The sequence below is a fragment of the Homo sapiens genome, chromosome 10, assembly GCF_000001405.40.
Source record: "Homo sapiens chromosome 10, GRCh38.p14 Primary Assembly".
Lineage (NCBI taxonomy): Eukaryota > Metazoa > Chordata > Mammalia > Primates > Hominidae > Homo > Homo sapiens.
The window spans coordinates 17,993,407-18,010,965 of NC_000010.11; the positions used below are offsets into that span (position 1 = coordinate 17,993,407).

At 38.4% G+C, this 17,559-nt stretch overlaps 1 protein-coding gene and 1 long non-coding RNA gene across 5 annotated transcripts in view; one reads left to right on the forward strand and one right to left on the reverse strand.

Moving 5' to 3' along the window:
• SLC39A12 (solute carrier family 39 member 12) overlaps positions 1-17,559 on the forward strand; it is a 91,368-nt gene that overhangs the window by 41,489 nt on the left and 32,320 nt on the right. For all 4 annotated transcript variants that reach the window (NM_001145195.2, NM_001282733.2, NM_152725.4 and 1 more), the window contains 3 exons: positions 2,250-2,316; positions 7,261-7,419; positions 9,765-9,952. In NM_001145195.2, coding sequence (NP_001138667.1) covers positions 2,250-2,316; positions 7,261-7,419; positions 9,765-9,952 — 414 coding nt within the window. The remainder of the gene's footprint in view (positions 1-2,249; positions 2,317-7,260; positions 7,420-9,764; positions 9,953-17,559) is intronic.
• SLC39A12-AS1 (SLC39A12 antisense RNA 1) lies at positions 8,380-17,156 on the reverse strand. Its single transcript, NR_038419.1, has 5 exons — positions 17,123-17,156; positions 16,259-16,347; positions 15,144-15,277; positions 10,905-11,002; positions 8,380-9,990 (listed from the first exon to the last, which is right to left on the reverse strand). It is a non-coding gene; the product is annotated as an SLC39A12 antisense RNA 1 (long non-coding RNA).

Consider the following 17,559-nt stretch of genomic DNA (forward strand, 5'->3'; position numbering starts at 1 on the left):
GGTTCTTAACTGTGATAAATACTGTTTAGAAAACTCTGCCAAGCACCTGAAAGCTGTTCTAAAGAGCAACAGGCACCCTCCACAGATTCACGTAATTGCTGTCTGCATCACTGTCAAACATGTATGGATCAGACTGACATCATAGACACGTCCTTAATCCTTGTGTTTACAAGTTTTCATAAACCAGTTGACCTTTGCCTTTGCATTCTGAGTAATCCTTAGCCATGACTAGGTGGATGAAAACAGATGTGGAGCAAGGGATTACTTAGTGCACCTAGGATTGGGGAGTTCATTTCATAATGCAGGAGATAACTGATTCTGTCCAATGAGAAGTTTCATAGTATGTGCCTTTATTCTACTAAATTTTCCACAACAAAATCTTCTATATTAATTCTCAAAGCACAATGTCCAATCATGTTCAAAACAATATTCCCATTCAAATGCTTTAAGTAAGAAGTATAGGAATGGGAAAAATATGAAAGTAATATATAATTGCTAGAATCCCTGCCTCCTGGAACCATGGCCTTAGGGTAAAGAGTTTACGGTGTAAGGACAGCTTCCTCAGTAGAAATGAGGAGGCTATTCCTGAGACATTGACATAGCAAAATAGAAGTTTGGGAGTAGATTTCAGATCTCGTGCTAACTCAGAGATAGGAACCAGAAATTTCCTTTAAAATACGATTTTAAGAGCCTTTATTGTATTTATTGCTTAGACATTCTAAATGTGGTTTGAAAAAAGATAACTTCAGGTGGGATTAGTTTTAAAAATCTCTTTAATACTGACCTTATTCCTTCTCTTTGAAGTGTCCAGAGCCCCAAGATGCATATAACCAAATCTCTGAAGGTACCTTAGTGAGTCTTGAGCTATTTGAACACTCCAGCTCACTAATATACGCATAATTCCTCTTGTTATTTAAGCTGCAATTTGACCTAAAGCATAATAGAAATTGTATAAACTTTTAGGAGTGTTTGATGAGTTTAATTTCTTGTTTTTTCAAGAAACTCGAGGATAAAGAAGAATGTACATTTTTTTCCCAATCAATAAGAAGTCCTGAATGTTTGGCTCTAAATTACTTTACATAATGTGACAATAAATAGCTTTTTTTGAAAAACAAGACAAAACATTCTAGAATAAATATCTGAATTCTGTATTTTCACAGAACTATAAAGCATTGTGATTACAATTAGGTTTTTGATATAACATAAAGGGATCACAATGTTTTTTGTTTCTATATCCTCCCAATTTCAAGTAAGAGGTCTACTTCCTGCTCTCTGTATCCTACAGGCTCTACCTTACTTCTCAGCTATCCTTCTCCAAAAACAGCCTATCATTATCTTTTGAATAGCTGCTATTATTCTAATACGTGAACTTTACTAATGTGTAAAATTTACTTTCTCTCTTTTACACACACACAAAATGCATTTATCTCATTACATTTGTGTCAAAATTTGTACAACTTTGGGAGATAGACTTCTATGCATATGCTTTTAAAAGGACATATTTAATATGCAGATAAAAAGTTTTTTTATAGAATTGAAATCAGAGGCGCCAAGACGGAAAATATATTTTCAGAAATTGGTCTGTGAGTCAGTCTCTGAAATAAAATCACGTAATCTTACCTCATAAAGTCAATTTCAAAATCTCACTTCTCTGTCATATAAAAGGATTAAAAAATGTTTGAATCTATTATTGTTGTCTTTTATAAGTGGGTGGATCTACTTTCTTAATGGGCAAGATTCTTTTACTGACTGGCAAAGCAGTTAACACAGAATATTATGCTGCAGTGAATGAAATGAGGTGTTGAATTTGCATGGGTGTCTTTTCCATCCAAAATACATCGACTGCTCACAGGTTAGAGGATGGATCTTAAGTCCACAATCCACCATACAGGAGAAGTGCTGAGTTAGGCCAAGAATAATTTTTTTCGATAGCTTTTGAATTTCATAAAGGCTTACATAATTTACGAGTCTGAATTACAGACTGTCTCAGCAGCCTTCAGCTCTCTATGGAAGATTCTGATCTACCTGAGAGTGCTATTTTCATCTAAATATGAAGAGTGCAAAAGGCTTGCTTTGCCCACAGACTTTCAGCTCTACATTGTGTGTGTCTATGAAACCTGAGGTTCTAATATACATCTAGAGTACTAAAATGTCTTTTAAAAACCCATGTAACTCTCCAGATGTTTCATTTTTCAACAAAATGATGGCCATTACTTATCTTTCATCAGTTATTTTTTAATTTAAAATAGAAAAGCCCAGAAGATTCACAGGCAGCTGAAATGCCTATAGGCAGTATGACAGCCTCCAACAGAAAATGTGAGTACCAAGCTAAACTTTACATGTGGAAAGTGCCATAGAAAAACAGTTATGTCTGTTTTAAAATAAAATGTCAAAACTATATAGATATCATATTGGGTATGTAGTTTATTATGAAAAACTTTGCAATAGGATTTGTAATAAAAACTAATTCCTATCCAGCTCTCAAATTGACTACATATTCATATCAATTTTACTCCTTCCTTTAAAAATGAAGTTTTTCTTAGTTGATTTAAACTAATTCCCTTCAGGGGAAACTTCAATTAATGTAAACACATGTGTGTTTATCATAGCTCATTTCTAAACATATTTGTGTGATGATTGAGGCTTTTATTTCACTGTGAAGTATGGATATATCATTGTTTTTTCATCTTCTAGCACTGTCTACTGAAAATTCATCACAAATGCGTCTTATTTATCATACTGTCATTGAGATGGTAGAATTCAAATCAGTGATCTCATTTATTCACATCTTATTCTATAACTCATTTGTTCATTTAATTTTTAATTAACAAAGCTTGATGTTTTTTCTATGATTTTTTTCTTCTGCATTTAATTTACCAATTTTGGATAGAACTTTATTAACCTGTGCTTATGTTTCTGAATAATTCTTGAAAGTTTTTCGGATTTTTTTGTCTGTTTTGGTTTTCATCTGTTACTCTTGAACTTTTGCCCTATTTTTCTCACTTATTTTACACTTTTGTGACACAAACTTAAGGTTTTAATGTTATGCATCATGATTAGTTATTCCCATTCTACCGTAATAACTTAGCAAATAGTGAAAATAGCTAACACGTATTGAACACTTCTTGTATGCTAGGCACAGGGCTACACAGTTGGTGTGATCTCATTCAATTCTACAACTTAAGTAAGAATAAATATTAACTGAATTATACAAATGAAGAAAATAGTTGTTAGCGAGGTTAAATCACTGCTCAAGATTATATAGCTAGTCAGCTCTAGCGCTGGGGAACTAAAGAAATGCTAATGCACCGGCGGGCGCGGTGGCTCACGCCTGTAATCCCAGCACTTTGGGAGGCCGAGGCGGGCAGATCACGAGGTCAGGAGATCGAGACCATCCTGGCTAATATGGTGAAACCCCGTCTCTACTAAAAAATACAAAAAATTAGCAGGGCGTAGTGGCGGGCTCCTGTAGTCCCAGCTACTCGGGAGACTGAGGCAGGAGAATGGCGTGAACCCGGGAGGCGGAGCTTGCAGGGAGGCGGAGCTTGCAGTGAGCCGAGATCGCGCCACTGCACTCCAGCACTCTAGTCTGTGCAACAGAGTGAGACTCCGTCTCAAAAAAAAAAAAAAAGAAAAAGAAAAAAGAAAAAGAAAGAAATGCTAATGCACCAACAATTTTTTTGTGACCATTCATTCATTCATGCATCAATGCATTCTTTCACATTGTTTTATTCATTCAAGAAATGTTTGAAGACATGTCCTGCTTCAGGCATGTTTTATGCAGTGAAGAATAAAATAAGCATGATCTTTATCAGTGCAGAATAAAATAAGCATGGTCTTTATTCTTAGCTTGGGATGTAGTCAGGGATAGAAATACTACTAAGACCAAACACCATTATAACAACTACTGTTCTAAATGTTTTAGATACATTAACTCATGTAATTTATTTATTCGATTCAAAATATGTAATTACATATTTTGTCCATTTCTGCTTTTAGAACATTGCTAGTAATATTTTTCCTTCTAAACTTTTAGTTCCAAGAGTAATTTTAGAAAGCTGGGCACATAGTAGGTCTGCAATAGACTTTTTTTTCTCTTTGGTTGTGGTCTTGAAAGAAGGACATGCCCAGTCAAATCAGGAGCTGAAAGAGGATGCTAGATTAGGGAGTAACGATGGTCTTCTTCAAACATTTTATAGGCCTCTTACCTACCTGCTTACTTCCTGTCGAGCTTGGCATGCAGAATGAATAGTGAACATATCCATATTACATTACTCAACTGCCCCTTTGCCAGGGACATACTGAATTAAGCTTCAAATATTTGATGACTTGTTTTGTATTACCTCATCCGTGGAACTCAACTTGTGTTTCAAAGACAAGATGCAAAAATTCAATCCACAGTCTGATTTAAATTTTAAAAAAGCACAGTGATACCACTTCCAGCCCCCATGTTTTACCATGGAAAACCTCTGATAGCTCAGAAACATGGAACTCAATATGACTGCCAAGTACATGAATAGAGGTAAAATATTATACTTAATTCTGTAATGAGTACATTAAATTACCAGTGAATACTTGTCTTATCTTCCACTAAATAATTTTTTTGTTTTCAGATGGAAACTCGCTCTGTCACCCAGGCTGGAGTACAGTGGGACGATCTTGGTTCACTGCAACCTCTGCCTCCTGGGTTTAAGCGATTCTCCTGCCTCAACCTCCCGCTAAATAATGTTTAAATTACCTTAAGAAATATACACAGTGTGTTCTTTATGGCTTACATGCAAATGTTTATATTTGCCTGTGGCTTGTTACCTATCCACGATCTGACATTTAGAAACCCATGATCAGAGATAACAAAATAATAGCAAAAATAGGCCACACTGGTTTCTAGCAGAGTGTAATATTGGCTAAAAATCCTCCTTTGGAATATATGCTATTAATATCAAGGCTACATATAGGCATGTGGAAATTACAAGTTTATTTGCATGTTGCAGTGTTGTCAAATGTATCACTTTAAGTTTTTTTAAATTTCCTTTCACAAAGAAGAGCTTTATCTCTGAAAATTGGCAGGAGCAGTTAAATGATCTAGTAGCATTATTGGTTTCTGAGAGTTTCCAGGCAATGTCAATAAGAACTCCCTGAATTCAAGAATTCAGTATTTATTCTTTGTTCTTATGGCTGTTGCCTGAAATCTTTCCCTTTTTAGCAAGGACTAAAATAAGTTAGTGAACCACAGGAAGGATGTAAGTTAGTTCTACAGTGATATTTCTAAATACCCATGATTTTTAGAAGTAAAATACACAGGCCATCTTTGAAACACAGTAAATGGAGCTATCTCCTAGACGGTAATTTGGGTTATATCTGGTATTTACTGAAGTTATTTATCTCACAGTGTGGGATATGATATGAATCAAATCATATTCCCCAAATAAGATGGCAAACCACATTATAATGCAATCCCCCTTGTAGTCTTAGGCCATGTAACAGTTCGAAACCAGGAAGTATCCTCTTTCTATTTTTATTGAGCACAATTATTAGAATTATTAGAATTTTTATTGAGCACAATTATTAGAATAATTAGAATTTTTATTGAGCACAATTATTAGAATTAGGCCAGGTGCAGTGGCTAACGCCTGTAATCCCAGCACTTTGGGAGGCCGAGGCGGGTGGATCACTGGAGGTCAGGAGTTCGAGACCAGCCTGACCATGTGGTGAAACCCCGTCTCTACTAAAAATACAAAAAAACTAGGCAGGCATAGTGGCATGTGCCTGTAGTCCCAGCAACTCGGGAGGCTGAGACAGAATTGCTTGAACCACAGAGGCGGAGGTTGTAGTGAGCCTAGATCATGCTACTGCACTCCAGCCTGGGCAACAAAGCAGGACTCCATCTCAAAAAAAAAAAAAAAAAAAAAAAAGGAAGCATTATGCATTCAGTTCTAACAGTAACAGTAACTACTACTTACACCTGTCACACAATATATATGCAACTGAATAATTAATGAAAGTTTAGACTATGACAATTGATTAATGACTTTTCTTATCAAGTGGTCTACCTAGGCAGATTACTACCAAAATAAGTACTATGCTCAATATACTTTTCATGTTTGTGAGTCGTTCAACTCTACAATTGAGTTATGCTAACATACAATTTAGAACTTTCAGAACAGAAGTTCTGTCCATTAAAAAGCTGAACCCAATTATGATCAAAATTATTTCATTGGCTCTCTCCTGACCAGATGATATATATTATGCAATCGAATTCCATGAAGACAGAAGCTTCTCTTTATTTTGTTCAACATGTAACTGGCCTAGTGCTGAAAGTTATCTTGCAGAAAGAAGAAAACTTTGAGAAATTATTCCAAAGCTAACTTTGGGGCCAGAAACGTTGGTCGTGGTTCCGTTGAAGTCACAATGGGGAGTGAATGGGGCGCTTCAGGGAAGTCATTAGCACTCACCAGAAAGGGAACCAAAACAATCACACAGTGACAGAAAGCACACTGCCCTAGATTGACACAGAACAGTCTGACTCAAATGAACAGCTTTGGGAAATACACTCCATTTTAATGACATTCCACTGGGAAGTTTGTCTTGGCCCACTCGGTCTGCTACAACAAACTACCATAGACTGGATGGCTTATCAACAAAAAGTTCTTTCTCATGGTCCTGGAGCCTAGAAGTCCAAGATGAAGGTGCAAGACAAGAGCCAACTTTCTGGTTGTAGATGGCGCCTTCCTGCAGTGGGAAGTGGCAGAAGGGGCAAGGGAACTCCTTGGCATCTCTTTTATAAGGGTATTAATTCCATCCCAAAGGCCCTACCTCCTCATACCACCACGCTAGGGGAATAAGTAGAAACGTATGAATTTTGGAGAGACACAAACATTTAGTCTATAGCAAGTTTCTTAAATTATTTTTAAATGCATTGCAAAAGACAGACGGGAAGGTCATCAGTGGTACTTGGGGAGGCTATAACATGGGTTTTACTTTCTTGTGTTGGCATAACTGCATAAGATGTTAAAATCATTTATGCCAGCATGTAATTTATCTCATTAGACCAGTTAGCAAAACAGTGACCATACGTTTAAGTGTGTTGGTTATCACACTTGAATCTCTAGTCCTGACTTTTGCGGAAACAAAGTGATGTTATTTAATCAGATGGAATATAAGAATGTCAAGTGTAGGTGGGAAGGTTGGTTGGTTTTGAAGGATTTGGTGAAATATGTAGTGCTCTGTTAATGCTTCTTCTGTGTTTATTTGGTTCCTTAGGTAAAGCCATTAGCTTGTTAGCAATCATGATTCTGGTTGGGGACAGCCTGCATAATTTTGCAGATGGCCTAGCCATAGGAGCAGCCTTCTCATCATCATCCGAGTCAGGAGTGACCACTACGATTGCTATCTTGTGTCATGAAATCCCACATGAAATGGGTAAGTTCAACAATGGAATTACTGTTTCTGGCCTGTTGAGAAAGAAATAACATCTTTCCAGCTATGGTTTACTAGGATTCTTTTTCTAACCTATGACTTAAAGATGAATACTTTCCTTTTATAATTTATTTAAACCATAAGAAGAGGAGGACTAGAAAAATAACTCCTGTACCTTGGAATAAAATCCAGTTAAACTCCTTTATGATGTTTCCCAGGGCCAGAAATGACTCTATTTGGATTCCAGAGAATTCCATATGGGAGACAGTCATTCAGAGAAATATTTTAAAGAATTTTGATGGGGACTTTAAAATCTGCATATTAAATGTGAGAAAAATATTAGGAGGGGAACTTTATCCATCATGTCAGCACATGGGCCAGTAAGATAAAATAACATTTAAATTAAAACCGGCCGGGCGCAGTGGCTCACACCTGTAATCCCAGCACTTTGGGAGGCCGAGGCATGTGGATCACCTGAGGACAGGAGTTCAAGACCAGCCTGACCAACAGGGTAAAACCCCGTCTCTATTAAAAACAAAAACTTAGCCAGGTGTGGTGGCCCAGGCCTGTAACCCCAGCTACTTGGGAGGCTGAGGTGGGAGAATCGCTTGAACCCAGGAGGTGGAGGTTGCAGTGAGCTGAGACTGAGCCATTGCACTCCAGCCTGGGCAACAGAGTGAGACTCCATCTCAAAAAGAAAAACAAAAACAAAAACAAAAAACCAAACCATGGTTTCATCAACCTGACTTATACAAAATGTTTAAAGCCAAGCCTAGCATTGAAATGACAGGTGTGTGGTGGCAGATTCTCATAAATCTCTTTTTCTGGATAATCTTAGTTGCCCTGTAACTTTTTTTCTTTTAATTTTTGTGGGTACATAGTGGTTGTATGTATTAATGGAGTACATGCGATGTTTTGATACAGGTATGTAATGCGTAAGAATCATATCATGCAAAATTGGGTATCCATCCCCTCAAGCATTTATTGTTTGTGTTACAAACTATCCAATTATACTCTTTTAGTTATTTTTAAATGTACAAATTAAATTATGATGACTGTAGTCGTCCTGTTGTGCTATCAAATACTAGGTCTTATTCATTCTATTTTTTTTTTTTTTTTTGTAGTGATTAACCATCTTTACCTCACCTCCACCTTCCCCTACCACCCCACTACCCTTCCCAGCCTCTGGTAACCTTCTTCTATTCTTTAACTCCATGAATTCAATTGTTTTGATTTTTAGATCCCACAAATAAGTGAGAACAATATAGCCCTGTTCTTTGCCTCCCAGGACGCAAGATGGGTTAGAACAGACGTTTCTGAAACAGACCCAGAAATAGTAGAGGCTGGTCTGGCATAGGCTCCCAAGGGAGAGGGCTCTTCGCAGTCTCTCTGCTTCCACTTTCGCACCTACATTGCCCCTAGGAAACGCTTGCCCTCTTGTGCTTGGAGTCCGTTGCTCAAAGTCCTGACACTGACTCATTATTGACCTATCCTTCTTGGAGCAGTTTATCCAAGGTCCTCCCTGGGCTCATTAAAGTGCACCTGGTCTGGAAGCCATCCCCTATCTGTGGTCCTGAGTTTTGCTACTGTAACAGGGATGTAGCCCCCAGTCCTCAACCCAAAGCCACAGGGCAGTGTGACCGTCTGCAGCAGGCCAGCAGAGATGTTTCAAGCCCCGTTCATGGGAACAATTATGCAATGGAACTAGAAAACTGGGTCCCCAAGCTGTCTATTGAATTTTAGTCTCAATCCCCCAAACTAAGAAGTAGATGTTCTCAGATTTACTAACAGGTCAATCTTCTCTTGGAGGGAAGGCATGGAGAGAATGAGATCATTTTCCTATAATCATTTTCTAAAGGGAAAAATTTGTTTCCTAACCAACTTTTACAATGCTTTAAAAATCTCATATTAAGTAGTTTTCTCTCCCCACAGCAGTTTCTGCATAAGTAAATAATAAAAGCCCATATAGTGTCATGATTTCACCTGGCAAATTTCCAGGCCCAAAGATTTAGAAACCCTGGGACAGTGAGTGACTATTTTCCATTTATCTAAGTTGGAAATGTCAGAGGATATCAAGAACTCAAGAATATGTCACAGACCTCTCTGTAGATACAATCTTTAGGAGCAGCCAAAGGAATGGAACTCTTGAAATGCAACTTCCTAATAGTACGATGAATGGGCTATGAATTCTAGAGAAATATAGGAAAGCATTTTATTTACTGATCACTCAACTCTACCTATAAAATTGGTTCCAGTGCTGACATTCGAAATAGCTAATAGTGCGTTACTTTAGCAAAGGCGTCTTCCATTAAATGATAATTATATTTTCCTTTCCTCTTAAACTTCAGGAGACTTTGCCGTGCTCTTAAGCTCTGGACTTTCTATGAAGACTGCCATCCTGATGAATTTTATAAGCTCCCTAACTGCCTTCATGGGATTATACATTGGCCTTTCCGTGTCAGCTGATCCATGTGTTCAAGACTGGATCTTCACAGTCACTGCTGGGATGTTCTTATATTTATCCTTGGTTGAAATGGTAAGCTTGGTGGCTTTTCTATTTGATTTTTCTAAGCACTGAAAATGTAAAACAGAGAAAAAAAACAGTAAAAATGGAAGGATAAATGAGTAGAACAGAAGAATTTATAAAACAATATAAACCATTAAGGAATATTCTTTGTACTCCAAGAAAGTGCATTCTGGGCAGAAAGAACATAATTTGGGTACAGAAAATACTGACATTTTCTGTAGTGTTAAAGTGACAGGTGTGTGATAGCAGTTGCATGTAAGACTTTTTTCTTTTAGTGATTTTAAGTGGAAAGAATGAAATGTTCATAATCTTCAAAAAGTAATCATCAGCTCATTCGATTCCAGCTTTGTACCTATATATGATGCCTGTATTTCCAGTTGAAAATGAAAAGTTCTGTCAATCAGCCAGCTATTTTATTTATACAATGCGAAAGTTCTGTTAAATAGCCAGCTATTTTATTTATACAATGGAAAATAATTCAACTGAATTTGTCATTGAATTAAATCACTGTTTGACTTAATTAACCAAATGTGTTTTTTAAATAATGATTACGTCTTTGAAGTTTGAATTGCCAAAAGGACAATTGCGCTGATGAAATGAGAAAGAAGATTTTTATAGTATTTGGTTTCTAAAATTGCAACGTATGTTTCCTATAGAGGTCCTTGCTGACCTTAATGATAACTCAGTCATTAGTTTTCTTTCTGTATAACCTGATGAGGGAATTGAACCTGGGAAATTTCACATTGTCTTGCTTCTTAAATTCTGGTCTCCTTAAGATAAAAGTCTTTTTGAAGGTCACTCTCTATTGGGCTTGTTTACAACTTTAAAAATATCTTAAGGTAAAATCATATTGATTATCCCTTCTCATGGGTTGGAATATGGCAAATAAAAATAAAATTAATTAACAAAAGAGGTACTTAAGGCTGAAATCAGGCTGTGTAAAAGTCAGATATGTTATTACCTGTGTCCTGGAGAAGAAAAAGTAAATAACCTTGAAGGTAATATGTGGAACAGATTCATTGAGATTGACTACTAATGAAGCAGAATCCAACCATTGTCCTGGAAGTAAAAGAAATATTTCATGAGGAAAAAAATACAGGAGGCAGAAACCTGTGCTAATAGAACCAGAATAGCAGTGCGTTGTTGAAGTTAAGTCTTAGTAAGGGGATTCTCAGAGTAAACCCTGCCATTTTTAAACCCCACTCTAAGGCTCCTGAGTTTCCGGATGTTTTTCTTAATTCTTATGAGATGCATGCAGATGAGGTAAACACCAAATGTCCTTCCATATTTAGAAATGTTCTTATATATTATCTGTGATGCTCTGAGAACATTCTAATTTTGATAGTAAAGTGAAAGTGGAGCAAATTTTGACCCAGCAATCCCATTGCTGTGTATATATTCAAAGGAATATGAATCATTCTATTATAAAGATACATGCAGCACTATACACAATAGCAAAGACATGGAATCAACCCAAGTGCCCATCAGTGACAGACCGGGTAAAGAAAACGTGATACATATGCACCGTGGAATAATACGCTGCCATAAGAAGGAATGGGATCGTGTCCTTTGCAGGGACATAGATGAGGCTAGAAGCCATTATCCCCAGCAAACTAATGCATGAACAGAAAACCAAACACAGCATGTTCTCACTTATAAGTGGGAGCTGAGCGATAAGAACACATGGACATAGGGACGGGAACAACACACACTGGGGCCTGTCGGGGGAGGGTGGGGGTGGGGAGAGCATTAAGGTAAAGAGCTAATGCATGCTAGGATTGATACCTAGGTGATGGGTTGATAGGTGCAGCAAACCACTGTGACACACGTTTACCTATTTAACAAACCTGCATATGTACCCCGGAACTTAAAAAAATAAAGTGGAGCAAATTTTACCCCTTTTTCTGAACCTATCCCCCAACCTGAGGTCAATGTTATGGAATCCTGCGATTCTTTCAACTTGAGAAATCTGTATTTCCAGCTTTGTTGTGACTTTGAAACCACAGTCACTCACCATTTAATGAAATGAGCTATACTTTGTTTAAACTAAACAGTCTTGAAGGTAATGTGTGGAGCACATCAGTCCTCAGATTCACTCTTGAGCTTCCTAATTTTCAACTTTCGATTTCTAATTTCTCTTTATGGGTCAGTTCAGGGCAATTGCTGGATTCTTTTGAAGTTTACTCTGTTTTTCACACAGACTGGTTCTCTCTTCAAGTAGGATGAATGTCGATGTCTGTAGTCAATTTGTTTTCTTTGCTTTTGTCTACTCTCCCAGAATTGACGGGGGAAGGTTATCAAGAGCCATTTGTCATGCAGAACCCTAAGCTAAGTATGTCATTTTCCTTTCAATGTTCCTGCTCCTTTTCTTGTAAGCATAAGCAATTGCTTAGAAGAAAGCAATGTGACTGATATCCTGTGAGATTCCAGCTGGCATAAATCTTGACCCTATTGCAAATGGCTATTAGCCGAGGAAAAACCAGCATCCTGGCAGAAAGACAGGAAAAAAAAAAATACTTGTGAGTTTCCCGGGGCTACTTCCTATCATCCAGGTCGCTTGCTCTCACGGCCTTCTGAGCAACTTCTAAACAAACGCAGCTCTTTCACATAGCAATAAGTTTAACTGTTGGTTTTCTCTGGGGCCATGCCAAAGAAAATAGTCGGTCATTTAAAGGGAAGAAAACAAGGTTGCAAAGACTCTGAAACAGTAAAGAAAATAAATGCAGCAACTAAGGGGTAAAGGGGAACACTAGATGGAATATACTAGTTAATTGCTAAATCCTGGATATTGACCAGGTACCTTCTGAACAAGGTTAATGTGAAAAGACTAGCTAGATCTTTGTTTGTTTGTTTTAAAGAAATTGGGTGTGTTATTTCAAACTCCCAAAAGAAGAAGAACTAGAGACATAAATGAGGCCATTAGCAATGAGGTCAGCAAAGAAGAAAGTCCTTTCTGGGGAAAAGTGCCAAACTTAATTCTCCAAAGTAGAATTGGCTTATTCAAGTATACTAACTCCAAATTGCACTGAAGCATGGCTAAAGGAAGTTAAGAATGAATGCCTCTCTGGGTGGCCAGAGGAAATTAATGCTCTGTTATGAAGATCAGTGTCCTAGACTGGGTTTCCTTCAAAGCAGCTGGGAAGACAAAGGACAGGGTGAAAGCAAGTCATTTTGGAGGTGATCCCAGGGAGCAGAAGTGAAGGACCGGCAAACTGAAACAGAGAAGGAAGAAAGGTCAATACCATCTGTGTTTTTATTAAGTTGACCAGGACTATGGGAACACCATCACACAGGACCTTCTGATGAGGCTCAAGAAATATGCCTCAGAATAGTTTACCTGGGAAAGGAAGAGGCTTTATCTACAGGCTCTTGTCCCTGTGTTCAACACTGGCCCTGCCAGCATTATCTCCCCATCTCCACTTCCAGGTTATACACACCTGAGTACTAAGAGCATTCCTGGAAAGGGGCTCAAGCCATCACATCAAAGAAGCCCAGGGCAGGAGAAAGAGGAATGCAGTGTGAACCAGAGGCAAGACTCTGCAAAACCAATCAACACCTCCTTGGAATGGGTCTCTGCAGCAGTGACTGGGGTCAGAGATGGGGCTGAGTGCATCTGAAATAGCACACGTGTGATGTCCATTAACGGTTGGCCCCTTCCACTCCTCAAATGCCCTCCTTTCCTCTTAACACCCATCTCTCCCCAAGTCCCTTCGTGGTGGTAGCCAGCCAAAATACCACAAAGACTTCATAGAAAACAATAAGTGGAAGAAGCTCCAAACCCTGCTGGCCCTGAGGCCATAGTTGATATTCTTCATCTCTGCTCTCCAGCATCCAATCCTGATCCTCCTTAGCTCCAGGCAGCACTTGGGTTGATCTACATCAACCCAACCCTGGGAGGGGCAACTTAGGTCTTCAATGAAGGATCTGAATGTTCACTGCTTTGTCCTTGTTAGGCTGTGTATCCTCTAGTTGCCTGGTGACCATTGTTACCAGGCATCAAGAAGCACCAAGAGATGCTCCAAGAAATCTGAATTTGTAGCTGTGTTCCTTCTCTCCTCACCATGCAGCAGCACCCCTAACTCCTCATGGTAACTGTTATAGGAAAGGAGTCCTAATCCAGACCCCAAGAGAGGGTTCTTGGATCTTGTGCAAGAAAGAATTCAGAGAGAGTCCACAGTGCAAAGAAAAAACAAGTTTATTAAGAAAGTAAAAGGATAAAAGAATGGCTACTCCATAGACAGAGCAACCCCATTGCTGCTGGTTGCCCATTTTCATGGTTATTTCTTCATGATATGCTAAACAAGGGTTGGATTATTCATTCCCCCCCCTTTTTAGACCATATGGGGTAATGTCCTGACATTGCCCTGGCATTTGTAAGTTGTCATGGCACTGGTGGGAGTGTAGCAGTGAGGATGACCAGAGGTCACTCTCATTGCCGTTTTGGTTTTGGTGAGACTTTGCTGGTTTCCTTACTGCAAACTGTTTTGTCAGCAAGGTCTTTATGACCTGTATCTTTTGCTGACCTCCTCTCTCTTCCTGTGATGTAGAATGCCTTAACTGTCTGGGAATGCAGCCCAGTAGGCCTCAGCCTCATTTTACCCAGCTCCTATTCAAGATGGATTACTCTTGTTCACATGCCTCTGACATAATCACTAACAATTACTCTTACCATTATAGTAACTTTCTTCACTGTTGGTTGATCCACTAATATAGGGAGCCCCAAATGAGCAAGTGGTAGTGATAGTTTCAAGTTGACTGGAAACTTTATTGCAGGAGTTCTCAACCCCTGGTCCTGTTAGGAACGAGGCCGCACAGTAGGAGGTGAGCGGCAGGTGAGCAAGCGAAGCTTCATCTGTACTTACAGCCGCTCTGCATTGCTCACCTGAGCTCCGCCTCCTGTCAGATCAGCGGGGGCATTAGGTTCTCACAGGAGCGTGAACCTTATTGTGAACTGCGCATGTGAGGGATCTAGGTTGCACACTCCTTATGAGAATCTAATGCCTGATGATTGGTCACTATCTCCCATCACCTCCAGATGGGGCCGACTAGTTGCAGGAAAACAAGCTTAGGGCCCCCCACTGATTCAATATTATGGTGAGTTGCATAATTATTTCACTATATATTACAATGTAATAATAATAGAAATAAAGTACACAACCAATGTAATGTGCTTGAATCATCCTGAAACTATCACCCTCACCTCCAACCGTCGGTCCACGGAAAAATTGTCTTCCATGAAACCAGTCCCTGGTGCCAAAAAGGTTGTGGACCACTACTTTCTTGTATTCCCTGGTGCATTCTCCCCAGGAACAGGGATCTGTGGTCTGACAGTACCTAAGTTTACAGGAACAGGGAGCATAAATACACCAAGTGAAAAAACTAGCAATACCTATCTATCAATTGCTTTATAATTTGGTACTGTTTCTCTCCTAATCGCCATTATTTCCTTCCTTCTTACTTTGCATTTAATTTTCTCTTTACTTTCTTGCAGCTGTGTAAGAGCATCTCATTTTGTCTGAGAGCTGAATGTTCCGCCTAAGAAAATTCTCAGAATTGGAAATCTAGAGGATTTCTTAAATCCAGCTTCTCTAAAGTTTATAAAAATTGCTCAAATAGAAAAAAAAGCCCTCAAAGTATTGTCTTTTTCCAGCGTTTGGATAAGAGAGACTTTATTTTTAACTAATATAATTTGTTATTTAAAGCATAAATTAATTAATTAAAAAAATGTAAATGGGTTATGCCAAGGGAGGGTTTATTTTGGATCTGAAGCAATGTTTCAAACCTTTAGGCATTTTTCCTAGGGTTTTTAGATCCTGCCAAAATGGTGTTTCCATAGCAACAGGACTATAGAAACCTCAAGGGGCTATCACTGTAGATGTAACTAGAGATGTCCCTACAATGGGGGGAACTGGACAACTGCCCAGGAATTTAGTACATTAATAGAACCCAAGCTGATGGAGGAGCTGTAACTTAGGGAGGGAGCTAATGGAGAAGGAAGTACCTGTCCAATTCATGCCAAAACAAAATAAAACATAGCCCAGGTGCCCCCTCCAGGTGTATCCAAGGCAAATGAATTGGAATAGGGGAAATATCCAATTTCAAACCCTCTTCCCCCATCAACCTCCCTCACCATATAGGGTTCTAGATCTCTTCCCCCACCCTCACGTTTTTTGGATGCTCTTTAAAAACTTCATTTCCTCTCCAAGACTATCCCTTATGTTTCTTCAACCTTATTTTACTTATCTAATAACTTTGCAGGCAGGGGATTGGGGGGAGCAGGAACCTCAAGAATAAAAAGCAGTCAGAGCAATTTACTTATCTTCCCTCTTGTGAGAAGTGTCGCCCAGAAGTAATATCACAGCCAGACCTTTGCCTGGAGGACTTTCAATTTCCAGATAATTTTCCTTAAGTGAAAGGCAGGATAAAAGGTATTTTGAATATGAATTTAAGATCTTCTACCTTTAAAACATATCCAAAAATGCAAAAATCAAACCTGAGTATTCAATCTGGTCAATAAACAGGATTATCAATATAGTTCATCCTCTCTACACTTATTGTAGGTCAGTAAATGTAGCAGCTTCAAGAACATGAATTGGGTAAAAGCAAAAAAACATTAATTGAGTGACAAACATCCACCTTTCTAGCCAGGCTTCTCCTCTCTTCTTCATCATATAACTATAAAATTAAACTAAACTAGAATCCTAGACTTTTAGAATATTGATCCCATTCCCTCCTCCCCATTTTTCTTTCTTTTTCTTGTGATTTACTGAGTTTGAATGAGTCTTTCTTTATCAGAGAAATCTAGACTCCGAGGCAATTCAGTCAAAGATCTGCAATCACCAAGTCAGGTCTGGTAAATGAATCCTTTCTCCATCCAAAAGATGAGTAAGTCTTCCTTTCTTTGAAGTTTGGCAATACCTAAGTGTAATTTCTGTTAAACATCCACCCACAGGAAGAGATTTTGTTTGAAAAAGACATATGAAGTAACCTTGATATACGTATTTGTTTTCAACAAATATTGTAGTTAAAATCAATGAGTTCCATTGGCATCATTTTAAATATCCTTTGGCTGAGAAAGAAATAGCAAGCATTCAAAACTCAATTCAGGCAGCAAAATTAATGTAATTTAACATTCACAATTATTTCTTAACAAAAGCAAGAAGGGTGAATCATTCTTACCCACAAATTTGAAAGACTTCTATTCTCTTTCTGTAAAAATCAGTCAAACCCCACACTTAGAAATTTTCTACTGAGAAAATGAGTAATTAAGCCAACTTTGGTGAACGCTGAATTCTCTCTATAATTAAAAGAAACTGACCATCAGAAATGCTGGTATTTTTCTACTCCTCGTTCCTCTTTTCTTCTAACTAATTTCTCAGATCATACACACACATACACACAGATCTTCCAAAGCAGTTATTTTAAAAATGCAGTTGGCCCTAGAACAACATGGGTTTGAACTGCATGGGTTCACTTATACTCAGATTTTCTTCCACCTCTGCCACCTCTGAGACAGCAAGACCAACCGTTCCTCCTCCTCCTCCGTCCCTTCAATGTGAAGATGAGGATGAAGACCTATATGATTGTCCACTTCTACTTAACTAATAGTAAATGTA